Source organism: Homo sapiens, chromosome 22 (assembly GCF_000001405.40).
Source record: "Homo sapiens chromosome 22, GRCh38.p14 Primary Assembly".
NCBI classification, from domain to species: Eukaryota; Metazoa; Chordata; class Mammalia; order Primates; family Hominidae; genus Homo; species Homo sapiens.
In genome coordinates, this window is record NC_000022.11 from 18,958,625 (window position 1) to 18,973,990 (window position 15,366).

The 15,366-nt window shown below is 61.3% G+C and overlaps 1 long non-coding RNA gene across 5 annotated transcripts in view, besides 1 other annotated feature; it reads left to right on the forward strand.

Annotated features, from left to right (window-relative positions):
• Positions 10,925 to 11,756: an enhancer, noted in NCBI's record as "H3K4me1 hESC enhancer chr22:18957062-18957893 (GRCh37/hg19 assembly coordinates)". NCBI's record gives its function as "activates a minimal SCP1, AML or CMV promoter by ChIP-STARR-seq in naive H9 embryonic stem cells {active_cell/tissue: H9 hESC(naive)}" and the evidence as "EXISTENCE:reporter gene assay evidence [ECO:0000049][PMID:30033119]".
• DGCR5 (DiGeorge syndrome critical region gene 5) overlaps positions 11,844 to 15,366 on the forward strand; it is a 60,775-nt gene continuing 57,252 nt past the window's right edge. For all 5 annotated transcript variants that reach the window (NR_110533.2, NR_026651.2, NR_024159.2 and 2 more), the window contains exon 1: positions 11,844 to 12,034. This is a non-coding gene — a long non-coding RNA (DiGeorge syndrome critical region gene 5). The remainder of the gene's footprint in view (positions 12,035 to 15,366) is intronic.

Sequence of the window (15,366 nt, forward strand, 5' to 3'; positions counted from 1 at the left end):
GACCTTCTTCAAAGTTTGATAGAATAAGGGAAACTGAGGCACAGCTGGTCCCTTGGCCACCGTGGGGAACACAGAGCCGACCCCCTGTATCATGCACCATTTGCACAGTGGGCTGCTTTCAGCTGTGTGCTGGCCAGGGTCATCAGGCTCCAGGACGTGGCCCTGCGGAGAGGCTGCCCTTCCTCCATCCCAGCATGGACGGCCCAGGGCTGGAAGCCGGGATTTGGGGTGAGCTGCACGGGGATGACTAATCCAGCCACAAAGCCGTCCCCTCCACACTCTGCCCGCCATGCGGGTTGGAGCTATCTCTGAGTCACCGTGGAGACGTTGAGAATGTCGCAGGGTCTTTGAGGCTCTTCCGCTCCCCCCAATCCTGTTCCCCACTCATACTTTTTATCTCCCCACAATCTGCCCTTTGATCATCTCCTAAGACTCATGCAACCAGCAGAATTGACGGCAGCACTTTCTGGTTCAGCCACTGCCTCCCACCTACCCCACTGCGGCAGCCACTTGGTATTTGTTGCCTGCTCACTGTGGCAGCCAGGCAAGTCTGGGACCCCTTAGAGCCTCGGTTTCCTCTCCTGTGTAATGGAAGCAGTCGTCCACTCTTAACAAATGTCCAGAGATGTCTGGGGGCCAGGTCTCTGTGCTGGGCCTGGGAACAAGACACCTGATTTTGGGGGAGATTCTGTCCCCCTTGCTCCACCCCATGAACTCTGGTGAGGGTGACCACCACACACCACAGTTACTTCCGGGCCCCAAGTGGCTGGCCCATCAGGGACTTCCCGGGAGTCACAGGTTGGAGGGAAGGAAGCCAGGGAGAGGTGGCAGAGCTGGCTGCACCCCAAGGCTGTCTCCAAGGGGCCCACCCTTGGCCTCCATCCACCCCTCCCTGGCCCGGACCCCTGTCCTGCCTCAGCAGCCCAGCCCACGGCAGCTGTCCCCTCACAGGCTACAAAGATGGTGGCCCTGGTCCTGGCCGTGGAGCAGGCAAGGCACGTGGAACATAAAGAAATATGGTTGTGAAGTGGCCAGGCCATGGAGGAAGCTCGGGGGACCTCGATGTCTACATTAAGACCTCCCAGGAGTGGGTTGTCCCTTCTGGAAGGGTGCTGGGGACAGCCGTGTGGCCCTTTTCAGTGGAAGGATCCCACATCCTCAGGCAGTGCCATCACATCCCCTGAGAAGCCCTGAAACCCAGGCATGAGGATGCAGCTGGCCCGGTCCCGGCAGGGAAGGGAGTGCAGCAGCTGGGCTCCGGCTCGCCTACCCACTGATTGCCAGTGTCCTGGGTGAGAAAGCAGGAGGCTTTTGTGCACACATGGGCCTCGGGACTGGGTCAGGGCTCAGGCTCCCCAGACGGGAGAAAGTGCATGCAGGGCCACCGGCTCCCCAGCTGAGGCTGAGGGAGGTGTCCTTGCCTTCCGTGCTCGGAGCCCTGTCTCAGGTGCTTGGCGCTCTTCTCTGCATCTTGGGTTTCCAGCAGGCCTGCCCCGCCCCAGGACTTGTGGGGAGGCTGGGACTGACCGCGATCCCCCAGGAACAAGGCAGATGATTGATAGAACTGGGCCCCGCCTGCTCTCTCAGCCCCCAGAGCCCCCAGAGGTGAGCTCCAGATGTCACCAGGGCTAATTTGGGAGCCCCTGCCCCATAGAGGAAACCCCCTGCACCAGGCAGAGCCCCGCTTGGCCCCTGCTTCAGCCGAGGGCTGCGGCCCATGCTGCCACCTCCCCTGCCCTGCAGCGGAGCTAGATGATGGCTGTTCTGTCAAGGGGGCCCTCGGCCTAGAGCATCAGTGCCACTCGGCCAGGACTAGCTCAGGTGGTAGTTTGGGGCTTTGACCCTGGCCTGTCTGATCTGCAGGCCGAGCATCCCCCACCACACTGTTTTCTACAGGATGGAATGGAAAGGAAGCCAGAGACCGGGAGACCCAGCCACAGCCATGCAGGAGAGGGCTGGTCAGGGCTGAGGCTGCTGCCCCTGACCTGAGAGCAACGGCACCATGCCCCTCCATCTGCCATCTGCACACAGGGTCGCCTCCAGCCCACAGGGCAAGGGGGCCAGGGCTGGGTCCTGAGTGCAGGGGTGTCCTTGGCAGGGTAAGAGTCAGCCTAACTCAAACTCCACTGCCACACTTTGCAGTGAGACTGACAGGTGGAATAAACCCACCAGGCCCCTCAGCACCAGTAAGAGCTCTTCAGAGTGGCCCAGGCCTGGCCATGTCCCTGAGAGAGGGGTGCTGCTGGCGCGCCCTGAGCAGGGGGTGGGCTGGGCCCTACTGCTTGGTTCTATCTCAGATTTTTGCTAATAAGCCCGTCTTTTTTCTTTTTTTTTTTTAATAAACTTTTCAACTTTAGAACAGTTTTATCTTTGCTGAAAAATTGAGAAGACAGTACAGAGAGATCGCATCTACCACACACCAGTTTCACCGTTGTGAGCATCTGGCATTGGTAGGTTAGAGTTGCTGAGCCAATAGCGGCACACTATTATCAGCCATCGTCCATGCAGTGTTCACATTTCCTTCGTCCTTACCGATGTCCTTTTCTCCATACCAGGATCTGACTTTGGTCATTGAAATTGCCAAAAACAAGGGGACACAGGAGTGTGTTTGGCCAGGTGGGCCACCTGCTGCTGCTGCCTCCAAATGTTCATCCCAGCCCCCCACGCACTCGGGGGATTTTCAAAGGGTCTCACGTGTTGGGTGCCAGAGACACCCTCCTGGGCCTTGGATTCCTCCTCTGTGATGAAGGCCGGGGCTGCTGGCTCCTCCACACCACACTCGGCCCCCAGCAGACAGGCAACAGGGGCCTTGTCCCACTGTAGCTGTGGTCAGGTGGTCCAGGGCTAGACGGTCCTATGGGGAGCTGAGGCCCCCACCTCGAGATCTCCCTGCCCAAGACACCAGTGGGGTTGGGGTGGGTCAAAGGCCTGTTCCTCCAGGGCCCATAGCAGGGGCTTCTTAATCTGAGGGTGAGAGGGTTTGGGAGGTGACACCCCAACTCCCACCCCAATTCTCACCCTCCACTTCTCACCCCACAAGCTATCACCATGACTGCCCACCTCCACTTCTCACCCCCACCTCTCACCCCTACCTCTCACCTGCCGCTCTCACCTACCACTTCTCACCCCCAATTCACACCCCTACCTCTCACCTGCCGCTCTCACCTACCACATCTCACCCCCAATTCACACCCCTACCTCTCACTCACACCTCTCACCCACACCTCTCACCTTCCAGCTCACTCCCTCTATTTCTCCCCTCTCAACCTCTTCCTTCTCTGAGCTCAGCCTCCACTGAAAAGGTGGCCTTTTCCCCAGATAGCTGGGCAGGGGCTGGACCGGACAGATTGCTGGCAGGGGAGGCACACTTGCTCTTCTTTGGTGAGAGTGGCTCTTGCCTCCTATGATCCTGGAGCTCAGGCCTGTCCAGCGCCCCTCCTGGAGGCAGCAGGGTGGGTGTGTTCCTGCAGACATGGACAGCCCACCTTGGCACTCAGGGCCCAGCAATCCAGCCCCTCCTCCAGGCAGCCATCCTGGATCACTCCTCGCTGCTTTAGCTGACTGGCATCTCAGCACCTCCCCAGGGAATGTCCCCAGGCCCTGCAAACTCAGTCCTGTCAGCCCCCAGCCCGCTCTGGGACCCCTCAGGAATGCTCCTTTCCTCGAGTCTTCTTCCTCCCACGGCCTCCATTCCCGTGGATTCTCCCTGCTAGGAAGTAGATCTCATCCCGTTTCACCATCAGGGAAACTGAGGCTGGGAAGGTAAAGGTACTGCCCAGAGCCATGCCTGTGGGAGGGCTGGGACTTGCTGGTGGCCTGTGAAGGTTGGGCAGGGGTGGATGGCTGGAGTCCCCAGGACCACCAGGACCACACCTGGCAGTGGAGGCCTAGGGTGAGGGACTGGGGCTGAGCAGGGCCTCTGTGCTGCCACTGTTGAATGTGACACAGCTCCTGAGAAGCAAGACCAGAGACAAGTTAAGCAGGCCTCTGCTAATGGGGCGCTAACAAAGACAAGAAGGGTGAGCAGGCATCAGGAGCGCTTGGGGACTCGCGGTGGGACAGCCATGAGAACTCAGCCCACAGCCATGTCAGTGGTGGCAAGGAGAGGACGGATGTCAGCTGTTTTTTATTTTATTTTATTTTATTTTTTATTATTTTATTTTATTTTGTTTTATTATTTTTCTAGAGGGTCTTGCTCTGTTGCCCAGGCTGAAGTACAGTGGCATGATCAGGGCTCACTCGAACTCCTGGCTAACATGATCCTCCTGCCTCAGCTCCCAAGTAGCGGAGACTACAGGCGTGCACCATAACAGCCAGATAATTTTATTTTTTTAATTTTTGTAGAGACTGGGACTCACTATGTTCCCCAGGCTAGTCCCGAACTTCTAGCCTCAAGGGATTCTCCCTGCTCTGCCTTCCAAAATGCTGGGATCACAGGTGTGAGTCACTACAGTTAGCCTGTTTTATTTTAAAATATATATATTTCCTGTTTTGAATGGGTATCCTCTCCTTCCACCCCATCCCCAGCGACCTGACACCCCCAGCTGTACCTGCAGGCGGTCCCCCTCCTCACCCCCACTAGACGTATCTGTGAGTGCCTCACCCCGGCCCCACCAGACCTGCAGGCCTCTCCCTGCCCTCCAACAGCCAGACCTGTGGGAGCCCCTAAGCAGCCCCCCTAGGGAACCCCCAGCCTGATGCGGCTGCCATCCCTGTGGGTGAGGGGCAGCATCTCACTGCAGCTTAGATCTGCGTGTTTCTCACTCTGAGTGAAGGTCAGCAGCGGGTGATGGGAGGTTCCTTTCATGCCTTTGCCCATTTTTCTCTTGGGCTGTTGCTCTTTTTCTTACTGATTTGTATTGAGAACCAAAAACGGCCCTTTGTGAACTGAGTTGCCGATGTTTTTACCCTTTGTTGGTTATCATTTTATGGTGGTTTTTTTCTCTCCATGCATCTGCCTTTTATTTTCACGAGGTTGAATATACCCATCTTTTACTTTATGGCTTCTGGGTTTTGTATAATTCTTAGAGTGACTAAAGATTGGTTTTTTGCCATCCATGCTTTCTTCTAGGAGTTTTATGGTTTCATTTTTACTTTTTAAATCTTAGTTCCACTTGGAACTTGTTTTAGCGTCAAGGAGTGAGGTAGGAATCCAAATGTTTCCTCCATATGTCAATTCCGTTGTCTTAAGGCCAAGTGTTGATTGTATATGTGGGATTATTTGTTGAATATTCCATCTCTCCTCTTGGATTTGACCTGCCTCTTCTCATATTTGCATTTGAGCCTCTTTCTGGACTCTTTCCCATCGTGTGACTGTCCAGGGTCTGTGTTAATTATCATGGTCTTAGAATATAAGGCGTTTCAGGATGTGACATGGCCCATCTCTCTCCGTATGCTCCTTCTTTCATGTGAACTTCACAATTGCTCTGGATGGGCCTCCTGATTCATTCAAGGAACAAGCCGTCAGGCTTCAGCCAGGCCAGAGAATGGGCCGTGGGTCCCAGCACTGGGCTTTCATCTGGGTTCCATCCCATTGGCCTGTGCCCCAGGGCCTGGCTCCTCGGGACTCAGCCAGTCCTGCCGGTGGAGTGCGCAGGCGTGACGCTGAGTGCTGGACTCTGTTTCCACGCGAGGCCTTGGGGTGGAGGGGTGTCTCAAGGGAGTGGCCAAGGCAGAGGACCCTCTTTCTGGATGTCCTCACTTGCCCATGGGAAGGGAGGTGGTCCTGGCTGAGCCACAAGGCCCTGCAGGCCCAGGCCCTGCACACATGCACCTTGGCAGAGCCAGCCAGAGAGGCCTGATGACCAGAGCACCCAAGCGGCAAGGGCAGGCAGGAGTGCCCAGGAGGGAGCCAAGCTGTGGCCGCTCTGCTGAGCCATCCGTTCCAGCAGGCAGCAGGCAGCGGACTGAGAATGCTCAGTTCAGAACTCGAGCCTGGGCATGAACCGGAGCCTCCAGAAACCTGCCCCTTAAGCGGGCCGGCTAAGAGTGGCAGCTGGGAGCTGGAGACCCAGGACACAGGCAGCCCCCAGCAGCCCATGTGGCCTCTTCTCAGCCACACCCCGAGGGCCCCGGGCTCTGCTCCCACCATGGCCGGCCTCCTGGGAGCCCCTCGCCTGGCTGGATGGGCCAGTGAGGCGGTGGCATTGAGCAGAGGGTGGTGGGGCCGGCAGACCCCAGATGTCCTGACACAGGCTAGGAGAAGCGCCTCCAAGGCTGGCAGCAAACCCCAGCCAGCCTATATAGTCAGCAGGAATCCTGGCTAAAAATACCCCAGTCTCAGAGGCCCACCAGCTGCTGCAGTCTCAGAACCCCCTCCTCACGCTGGGCACTGCCCATGTGCCCCTCCACCTCCCTTGCAGGCAATAAGGCCTGCGGACACAGGAGGAAACTCAGGCCCTGTGCCAGCAAGTCCTAGCCCCAGGGCCTGGCCTCCAGGACTGCCCACAGAGGCCCCCATCTTACTGCAAGGCCAGGGCTGGCCCCGCCCTGCTCTGCACCCGTGAGCCTGGGCAGGGGTCAGGGCAGGCCCCATCAGGACCAGCTCGGGCAGGGGCGCAGGCTCTGCTGGCCCCACCCTGCACAGCTCCCTGTCCCATGGCTCTCAGAGGCAGAGCCACTGGCTGGGGGGCAGAGCCCCAAGGACTTGGTCTGAGTCACCATGGCAGAATGTGGGGTGCTAGGTGGGCTCTTCCCAGTCACCCCTGTGGGCTTCAAGTGACCACACGGCATGGCTATGCCCTTTATCCTGGAATCACTGGCTGGGGAACTCAGGCCAAGGCCCACCTCCCCGGGGCTCAGTTTCCCCACCTGTACCCAGTGGGGATATGTGGAATAGGGGTCCAGTAAAGGTATACGGGGTGTTACAGCTTGCCTCTCAGAGTGTTTGTTGAGTGACTAAATGAATGAGGAAGTGAGCAGATGAAGGCAGTGAGGGAGGCTGTGAAGGGTGGGACCACTGCGCTCAGAGCAAGCCCTCAGCCTCTCCATCTGGGAAACGGAACAAACCTGCATGCCGCATGGATCATGGTGGCCCAGAGTGGGGTGCCCAGGGACCCAGGGAGCTCCTACAAGAGCAAGGCTGGGCACTAGCCAGCCAAGGCATCCTAGGGACCATCTCACTGTGGCCCCAAGGTGGGTTTGGCGGTCCACCCTGCCTTCCACTCCCCACCCACTCCTGCTGACAGCTATCGCCATGCCTTCCCTGCCTTCCCTGCTCCACTGGGAGCTCGTGGGTGCTTTCAACAGGTGCCCCTCCCCCCCAACCCAGGTTTGACTGCCTGCTGGGCTCCTGGTGTTAACAGCAGCTCCCAATTTAGCTGTCACTGCCAGGTGGGTGGCTCTAGAAGGATCCGTACTCCCTGCAGGGGTGGGGGAGGGGCGTGAAGCCACAGCGGATGCCTTGGGCACAGCCCAGGGACCCCCACCTTCCGGAGCTCTGCCCCTGCACCAGATTTGTGCCTACAGGGACCAGAAGCCTCCTACTCCCCAGCCCCACCCAGCCGGCCTCCCCAGAGAGAGGCCACCAAGTTGGTTGTGCCCACTGAGAGAAGACCCTGAGCCCATCTGCTGGCGAACACAAGTGGCCCGAGCTCATCTCAAGGTCCAGGAACCCTGGGGACTCACCCCTTCCTCTGGGCACCAGGAAGAGTGGTGGACCAGGGGTCCAGGTGCCAGCCTGGCATGTCCCACTTGGTCGAGTGTCCTTTCATCTCTGTTCAGGTTCCCATCCTGGAGATGGGCCACAAGGGATCCAGTCCAGGGCTGGGGGAGGCAGCCCTGTGGGAGGAGGCCCTTGCTAGTGAAGGGTCAGAGGCATTTGGAGATGGGCAGGCCCAGTGGGATTCTTGGGGCCACTGCCAGGATTTGGTTGTCGGTCCCTTCCTTGTGCCAGCCCCCTTTGCTGCTGCGTGTGGCTTTGATGAATAAGAGATGAGGAAGCATATTAATTATGGCTTAACATGCACCAAAGTTGGGCAGAGGGACTCCTAGGGATGGGAGTCCTCAGGGGTGCAGAACTGATGGGGGAAGACCAGGACACCCTCTGCAGCCCTGGGGATGGGGGATGGTGAGAGGCTTCTGGAGGAGGCAGAGGCTGTGGGCAAAGAGAGGGCTGAGAGAGGCTGCCAAGACGTGGGTCCACCTAAGCTCCCCAGACCTCCTTCTCTGGTCTGGAAAATGGGTGGTGGTAGTAGTGTCTACACTGCAGGACTGAATGGGATGACTCACTCAGCAGGCCTGGCACAGAGTCCTCTCGGGCCTTGGGCATGCAGCCACCCTCTGTGGTGAGAGCAGATGGCAGGCTGACGCCCCCCAGCTCCCTGGCACCGGGACCACATCCCTAGCCGCCCACTCAGAGTGCAGGGAAGGGTTGGTCACATTGACACGCTTGGGCAGCAGGCATGTGCTTGCCGCATGACCTTCTAGCTTCCTTCCTGGTCTCTCCTTGCATTGGCCTGGAGTGGCCCAGAATGTGTGGAGCAAAGACCCAATTTCCTTGCTGCCCATCCCTCCCCAGGAGACACCGAGGGCCTGGATGTCCGTGAGAACCGCACAGGCATGCCAAGGAAAGCCATGGCACGCCTATCTCTCCAGGCGGGAGATGAGCCTCCCGAAGCCCTGGGAAGAAGGGACCTTCCAAGGAGGCTGAACCGTGTCCCTGTCAGCCCAAGACGGGCCACTGCGAAAGGTCCCCTCATCTCAAGCTGGCTTCTATGGGCAGGCATGGAGTTTTGAGTGAAAACCCTGCATGATCCTCTCAGGGGACAGGAGGGGTGAACAAAGGAGGGACAGTGACCAGCTGACCAGGCCCTGAGGCATTAGCGTCTGCCTCGTCCACATGCTGTGCAAGCTCAGCGAGGCCAAGGGGCTGGGCCGAGGTCACACAGCTGGGCAGGGCCCTCATGACCGGCATGCTGGTCGTGGAGGCCGAGCCCCAGGTTGGGGGTGGGGGTGGGAGGTGAGGCAGCCCCTGGCCTCACTGGAGGGGGGTGGTGGGCTGGGGAAGCTGGCAAAGGATGTGCCCTACATGGTGGGTGTGAGGTGGGGAACGATTCGGGCAGATGCCCGTGTGGCCCTGCTGACCCAGTCCAGGCAGGGTGTGACAGGTCTGCCCAGCCCTGAGGTCACAGCTGTCTGCAGTCTCCAGCTCACTCCTGATCCCCAGGGCCACGTGTCCAGAAAGCCTGGGAGCTTGCATCAGCTGGGCACAGATGGCCTGTCCTCCCAGCACCCCTGCTGGGGCTTCCTAGGAACTGACTGGTGTAGACTCCGGGCAGCAGACGGCCAGGCTCTGCCCACAGGGTCCCTGGCTCCTCCCATGAGGTGACCCGATAGAACTGGCTGTGCCCCTTGACCAGGGGCTCCAGCCCTTGTCAAGCCCTCCCTGCTAGCCCCTCACCAGCCGTCAGCTGCCCTCCCTCCCTTGCCCGTTGGGCCCTGGGGGGGTGATGGCTCCGCGGTCGCCTGCCCAGAGAGTACACCACTCCCCATGCTGCCCCCCGACCTGGCTACACCCTGAAAAATGTGGCTTACCAAACCCTCCCACATGCACAGCCTGAGAAGCGGGCTGTGCCTTGCTGGTAGCAGACCGACCGGCTGCCTAGCCCTGCTCAACTCTGCCTCTGCACCCCCATAACTCCCTATCAGCGCTGGCCCACACCTAATCGTTCCAGCTAGCACCCAGGAGTGGGCTCAGCTTCCAGTGGGGAGGGCGCTGGCCAAGGTGCTGACCGAGGTGGCGGACACAGGAAACCAGCCGGTCCCCCAGCGCTCCCTCTGTGGGCCTTGGGCCTGCTCCCACTGCACAGACAGGTGGGGAGGTGGAGGCCCAGGTCCCAGCCCAGAGCAGCTGGGAACAGCCGGACTTGATGGCTGGAGAGGGCTGTGGTGCCAGAAGCCTCCAGGTTAGCCCTGGCTCCCCATTTCCCCCCATGCCCATCCCATGCCCCAGAATGGTCACTTTGGCTGCTGCAGGAGGGGTGGGAGGGGCTTTAAACCTATGAGATAGGGTGTGGGGTCACAATCTTCAATTGTAGTGGGCCGCTCTGGGTCACTGGTAATTGAAGAGACGCCTGCATAGTAAGCACGCAAGTGTCCTCTCAAGCCCTCTCTGCAAGCACAGAGCAGCCCGAGACTGGAGCCTGGTCCACCCCAGCGCTGTCCTCAGACTGATGGTCAGTGCCTCATGACTCATCTAGGGTCTGATACATCCCTGTGGTGAGAGCTCAGTTCCTAGTCTAGGGGCTGCTGCGTGCAGGGACCCTGGAGGAAGAATGCTTGTTTAGGGGTCAGGCCTCAGCCTCCCACTGGCTCTGTCAGCTTCGCCTGAGGTTCCCCATCTGTGCAATGGGTGATGACATCTTGGTGTGGCTCTGGGAGGACCTGTTGAGCCACCTCAGGGGCTGAGCTGGTGGCACTCGGCAGCCAGCACCCTCTGGGGAGGTGGCAGTGTGTGCACAGCCCACCCCTTCAGGAGGCCAGGGGACAGAGTGGCTGGGGGTGTCTGGGCCCCACCTCACCTTCTGTGTGGCTGGGAATGGCATGCACTCCACAATGCCCTCATAAGCCTAGGCTGGGACAAGGGTGATAGGGATAAAGCAGGCCAAGGTGATGAGGGCCACAGAGCGGCAGCCAGAGGCATGTGGGCAGTGCAGCCTCCACACCAGGCAGAGGGCCCGGCCAGCATGGCTCCACCCTGGGAAGCTGCCTGCCACTGGGATCAGATGGGAGCACCAGGGCTCTGGGAGGTCCTCACTTCCTCTGGACAAGGCAGGCAGGTCACCAGCCCTGTGCCCTGCTCATCTCCCTCAGGGCCACCTCCATGGCCAGGGGCAGGCAGAGAGCACAGGGCTGCCCAGTCACCAGGTCTCTCTGCTTCATATCAGTGGACCTGGGCTCTGAGGGGAGCCATCAAGACCTCAGGCTGGCCCACTCCGTCCTTGAGTCAGGGTCCTACAGACTGACACCAGGTTGGCCTGCAAGACCCTGGTCCTGTCATGCAGGGTGGGCCTGGGGAGGACCCAGCCCAGCTGAGCTGACTCCCAGCACTCCTCCAGGTGCAGGGACAGCCTGGCAGTTGTCTGAAGACCCCGGGATGGGCTTAGGAGCTCATCATCATCGGATGCCCCCCGAGCAGAAGACGGAGAAGGAACACCCCCACCCTGTGTGGTGTGTGTAGGGGTGTCACTGGGTTCTCTGGCTCCATGACGCCCCCCCGGCCCCGCTGGGGGCTGGCTTAGTAGAGTGGGGGATGATACTAAGCAGGCGGCCTCGGAGAGCGTCTTCTGGGTTTGGAGGCCACATTCCGCAGGAAGGAAGAGGTGGGGGACCCCTGCAGGGTTATGGGTAACATCAGGCCTGGGTCCCCTCCCTGGGGTGGTGCAGAGAGGGCCACAAAGGCCCAAGAGGGCCCCCAGAACGCTCTTAAGCCTTGAGCCTGTTTCTTACTGAAAAATGGGGGCGATCGTGCTCCAGCAAGGGGCTTCTGTGCAGGGGGCGGGGGGGGGCGGGGGGTTCATGGGTTTCGTGAGGCCAGGAAGCGAGTGGGTCGCGCAGAGGCCATCCCCAGGCCTCAATGGCCCCAGCCGCCATCCCCTCCGCCGCCTGCAGGGCCGCCGCCTCTTCAGGAATGCGCGGCTTTGTCTAGGGCCGGGTGGGCTGAGCACCTCCTGCTGCCCGGCCTACGCTCCCCGGCCAGCCGCGCCGCTCACGCCCCAACTTGGGCCCGCGCCCCCCAGCCCCCGCCCAGGCCCGCGCCCCCCAGCCCCCGCCCAGGCAGGCGCCTGCGCCCAGGTGAGGGCCCCGCCCGCCGCCGCCTCCCGCGCCCTGCGCGCCCGCGGCCCGAGCCCCGCCCGAGCCGGGCGGAGCGGAGCGCGCGGAGCCTAGACCCGCTGCCGGGCCGGGGCTGGGCCGGAGCGGCGGCGCCTGGATGCCGGCCCGGGGCTGGGCCGGAGACTGGCGCCCGCCCCGAAGCGACTTTCGGTCCCCGACCCGCTCCGCCTGACCCCTATGATGAAGAGGGCGTCCACTGGAGGTGAGTGTCCACGCGGCGCCAGAGCCCAGCAGGCGGCGGGGCGCAGAGCGGGGTGGTTCGCCCCTCCTCGGAGCCGCAGGGCCCGTCCAGGGCTTCCAAGGCTGGGGAAGCGTAGCCGGGCGGCCGGGAGGGCCACCGCAGTGCCGCGCCAGGCTGGGGCCAAGGGCGCCCCGGCCCCGGGAGGGCGGAGCCGGAGGCAGCAGGAAAAGTTGCCGCTTCCCGGGTAAGTTGACGGCGATGGCGGGGCCGGGGGTGGCGGCCCGGGGGTCCCCGAGGCTGGGCCAGGTCCGGGGTGGGGGCCGCGGGCTGGAAGGACGGGGTCCGGCCTCGGCGCCGCGGCCACGAAGGGGTTAATGAGCGGGTTTTTTTGCAGAAACGCGGGTACCGAGAGTAGGTGGAGGTATCGGGCCGCCTCCGCCCCCGCCTCGCGGACTGGGCTCAGAACCTCCCGTTTTTCTGAGGTCAGGCCTCAGGGGGATCAATGGGGGCGTTGGCGGCAGTAGAGGGCGTGGGGGACAAGGTTGTCCCAACGCTGCCTCCAGGGCGGGCGGTGAGAGGAGGCAGCAATGCCCAGACATCCGCAGCCCGAGGGACATTGAGAGGCTTGGCTGGGGGAATCAGGGGTGGTGGGGCAATCAGCATCCCCTCCCTGGCAGCCTTCGTGAGACTCCCCCGCCCCACTGGGTGTGAGGTCCCGCAGTGGGGGGCAAGGGAGGGTGGGCTCCATGTGAGTTGGGCATGCCCTGCCTGGAGGGTGCTCCCCAGGTGCCCACCCAGGCTGCCCTGCTGATGTCCATGGTGTCGCAGGCTGCACACACGTTTCCTTGCACGTGCACATGTCTACACGGACTGCACACTTGCACACCTCTGGTGCACATGCGTGCCAGCGCCACCCCAGTGTACACATGCACGAACACTGGGTGCACACACGGACTCTGAGGGTGCATATCTGTGTCCTCGCCCCCGCTTGCACGCCCACGGCCACACATGCATGTACGCGACATGCCTGCTGTGGTCTCCACGGGTGGCACATGCTGGGGCCCCTTTCACAATACCCACTCCCGCACCCACATGCTCGTCTGTTGAGTGGGGAGGCCAGGCCCACAGACAGGGGCAAGACATCCTGGGCCCCACCTCTGCCTGCCTGCCTCCGTGTCCTGGGGGTCCCCGCCTCGGGCGTGTGTGCGTGTGTGTAACTTGGTATGCATCTGCACGTGTGTCTGTGCGCGTGATCATGTGTGCCTGCGAGCACATAGGCATATGTCTCTTTGCCTCCAGGGTGTGGGTGCCCCTTGTGTGCCTAGACAGGCTGTGGCCTAATCTGGAGCAGAGGCCCTGGAATGTGTGTTGGGGGCTCATTGAATGCCCCCAGCCCAGGGTGTGAGGGGCAGGGTCTCCCAGCCACTCCGCACCCACCAGGGCTGAGGCAGTGATAGATGATGGTGGGCTGGAACCTGTCTGGTCAGGGAAGACCCATTTCAGGCCATGAGGTCAACACTGTGACCAACAGGCCAGACCCTGGGCACCCTTGGTGGCCGCTGCAGCTTGGCTGACTGGAGCACGTGACCCAGCGTGACTGCAGAGGCCCCGCCTCCAGTACCTCAGTTTCTCCATGGTGAGGACCTTCTTGGTGAGGGGTTCCGTGGTGGGCTCCCCTACCTCCGGTGTTGTGTAGGGTGCTGAGCAGATGGATGCCATGCTGCATGATGGGCAAGGGTGGCCCACTAGCACTGTGGCAAGGGCCCTGGGCTGGGGCTTCAATTGGCAGGCCACACCTCCTGCTCCCCTGGCCACCACCAGAGGCTCATCTATAGAGTGGGGACCAGCAGGTTATCCTTGTAGGTTGTGTGAGGGTGAAACATACTAGCAGAGGGGCAGCTGAAGCAGTGGGGCTGGCCAGTCTCTTTTTCTAAGCCTCAGTCTTCCCATCTATAAAGGGGGTACTGTTCCCTGTTCTTCTCTACTGAGGTGAGGAGGAAGTGAGCTCCCATGCCGGGGGTGGGAATGGGTGGCCATCAGCACCTAGACCCCACCTGGCAGAGGGGCACGTGCAGGGCCTGCCGTGGCAGAACCGTGACCTGGATTTGGGTCCTGGCTCAGCCACCTGCTGGCAGTGTGACCTTGGGTGTGACAGGTCACCTCTCTGCCTCAGTCTTCCTCACCTGCACCATGGGCCAGTGGTCAGGGATTATCGGGGCACTTCCAGGCTGAGGCTGGGCGGAATTGGCCCGGCTTTCCCTGTGGAGTTCCGACTCTGGTGCTTCTGCCTCAGAATGCCCAGAACACCTCCCCACACCCCAACTCAGCAGAGTCCTCCTGGGACCTTTGCATGGCCAGCTGGCCCCTCACCCCATCCATTTGCAGAAGGGACAATAAAAGCCCCTAGTCAGGCAACTCAGGCCACAGGTGAGTGGAGAGGGGACAGGGCAGGGATGCTGCCCAGCTTGGGAGACCCTCCCATAGTACCTTCACTCCCTCCCTGCCCTCCCCCTGTTCCTCACCTGGGGGTCTGTGGAACCCCTGAGCCTCAGTTTCCCTGTGCCAGGGTCCTTCCACTGGGACTGGCAGAAACGTAGGTTTGCATGGAGTGAGAAGCAGGGGAGAGGTTGAGGGAGGGCCTGGCCCAGCAGGTCTCTGAAAGCCAGAGGGCTTGTGGAGGGTCTATGGAGGACACCCCCACAGGGGCTGGGGCCCTGGAAGGTGGGGGAAGGTCCTGTTGTCCTGGGAGGCTGGGGACTGGCCCACAGCCTGTGGAGGGGCTGGGGTTTGTTTGCTGTTGCTGTGAGTGACAGGCAGGCTGTGAGGGCCAGGGCATGTGGGACCGTGCCCTCCGCCTCCCTCTGCCCAAGGACAGTGCAGCCTTGTAGCACTGCCCTCTCCTCGTCCCTGCCCCAGCCTTGAATTCATGCTTTGTGGCACGGACGGCCCTGTGCAGCCGGTGCAACACCAGGAGGGTCCAGCTGGTGAGGACAGGACGGGTGGGAGGCAGAGGAGCCCTCCTGCTGTCCTGGGCCTGTGGCCCGGAACCTCTCACCGGGAGCCTTGGTCTGTGCACCTGGGAAAGGGGTCAAGAACAGGAAGCATACGGGGAGTTTCAGGATGACCTGGAAATGAACAAATGCATGTGTGAGCCAGGCGCCCTGCCCGGCCCTGGCACAGGGTTAGTGAGGGCTCCCGACGCTTGGCTACTGTCTGATCAATGAGGTTCATGCCGTCCCGCCCCCATTCTGGCAAGCCTGACCTCTGATCCCCAGGCTGGCCTGCCTGACCCTCTGCAGCCACCCAGGGCCTGGGCTTTGGGGTCTGCAGGAGCCGGCCTGGCTGCCTGCTGC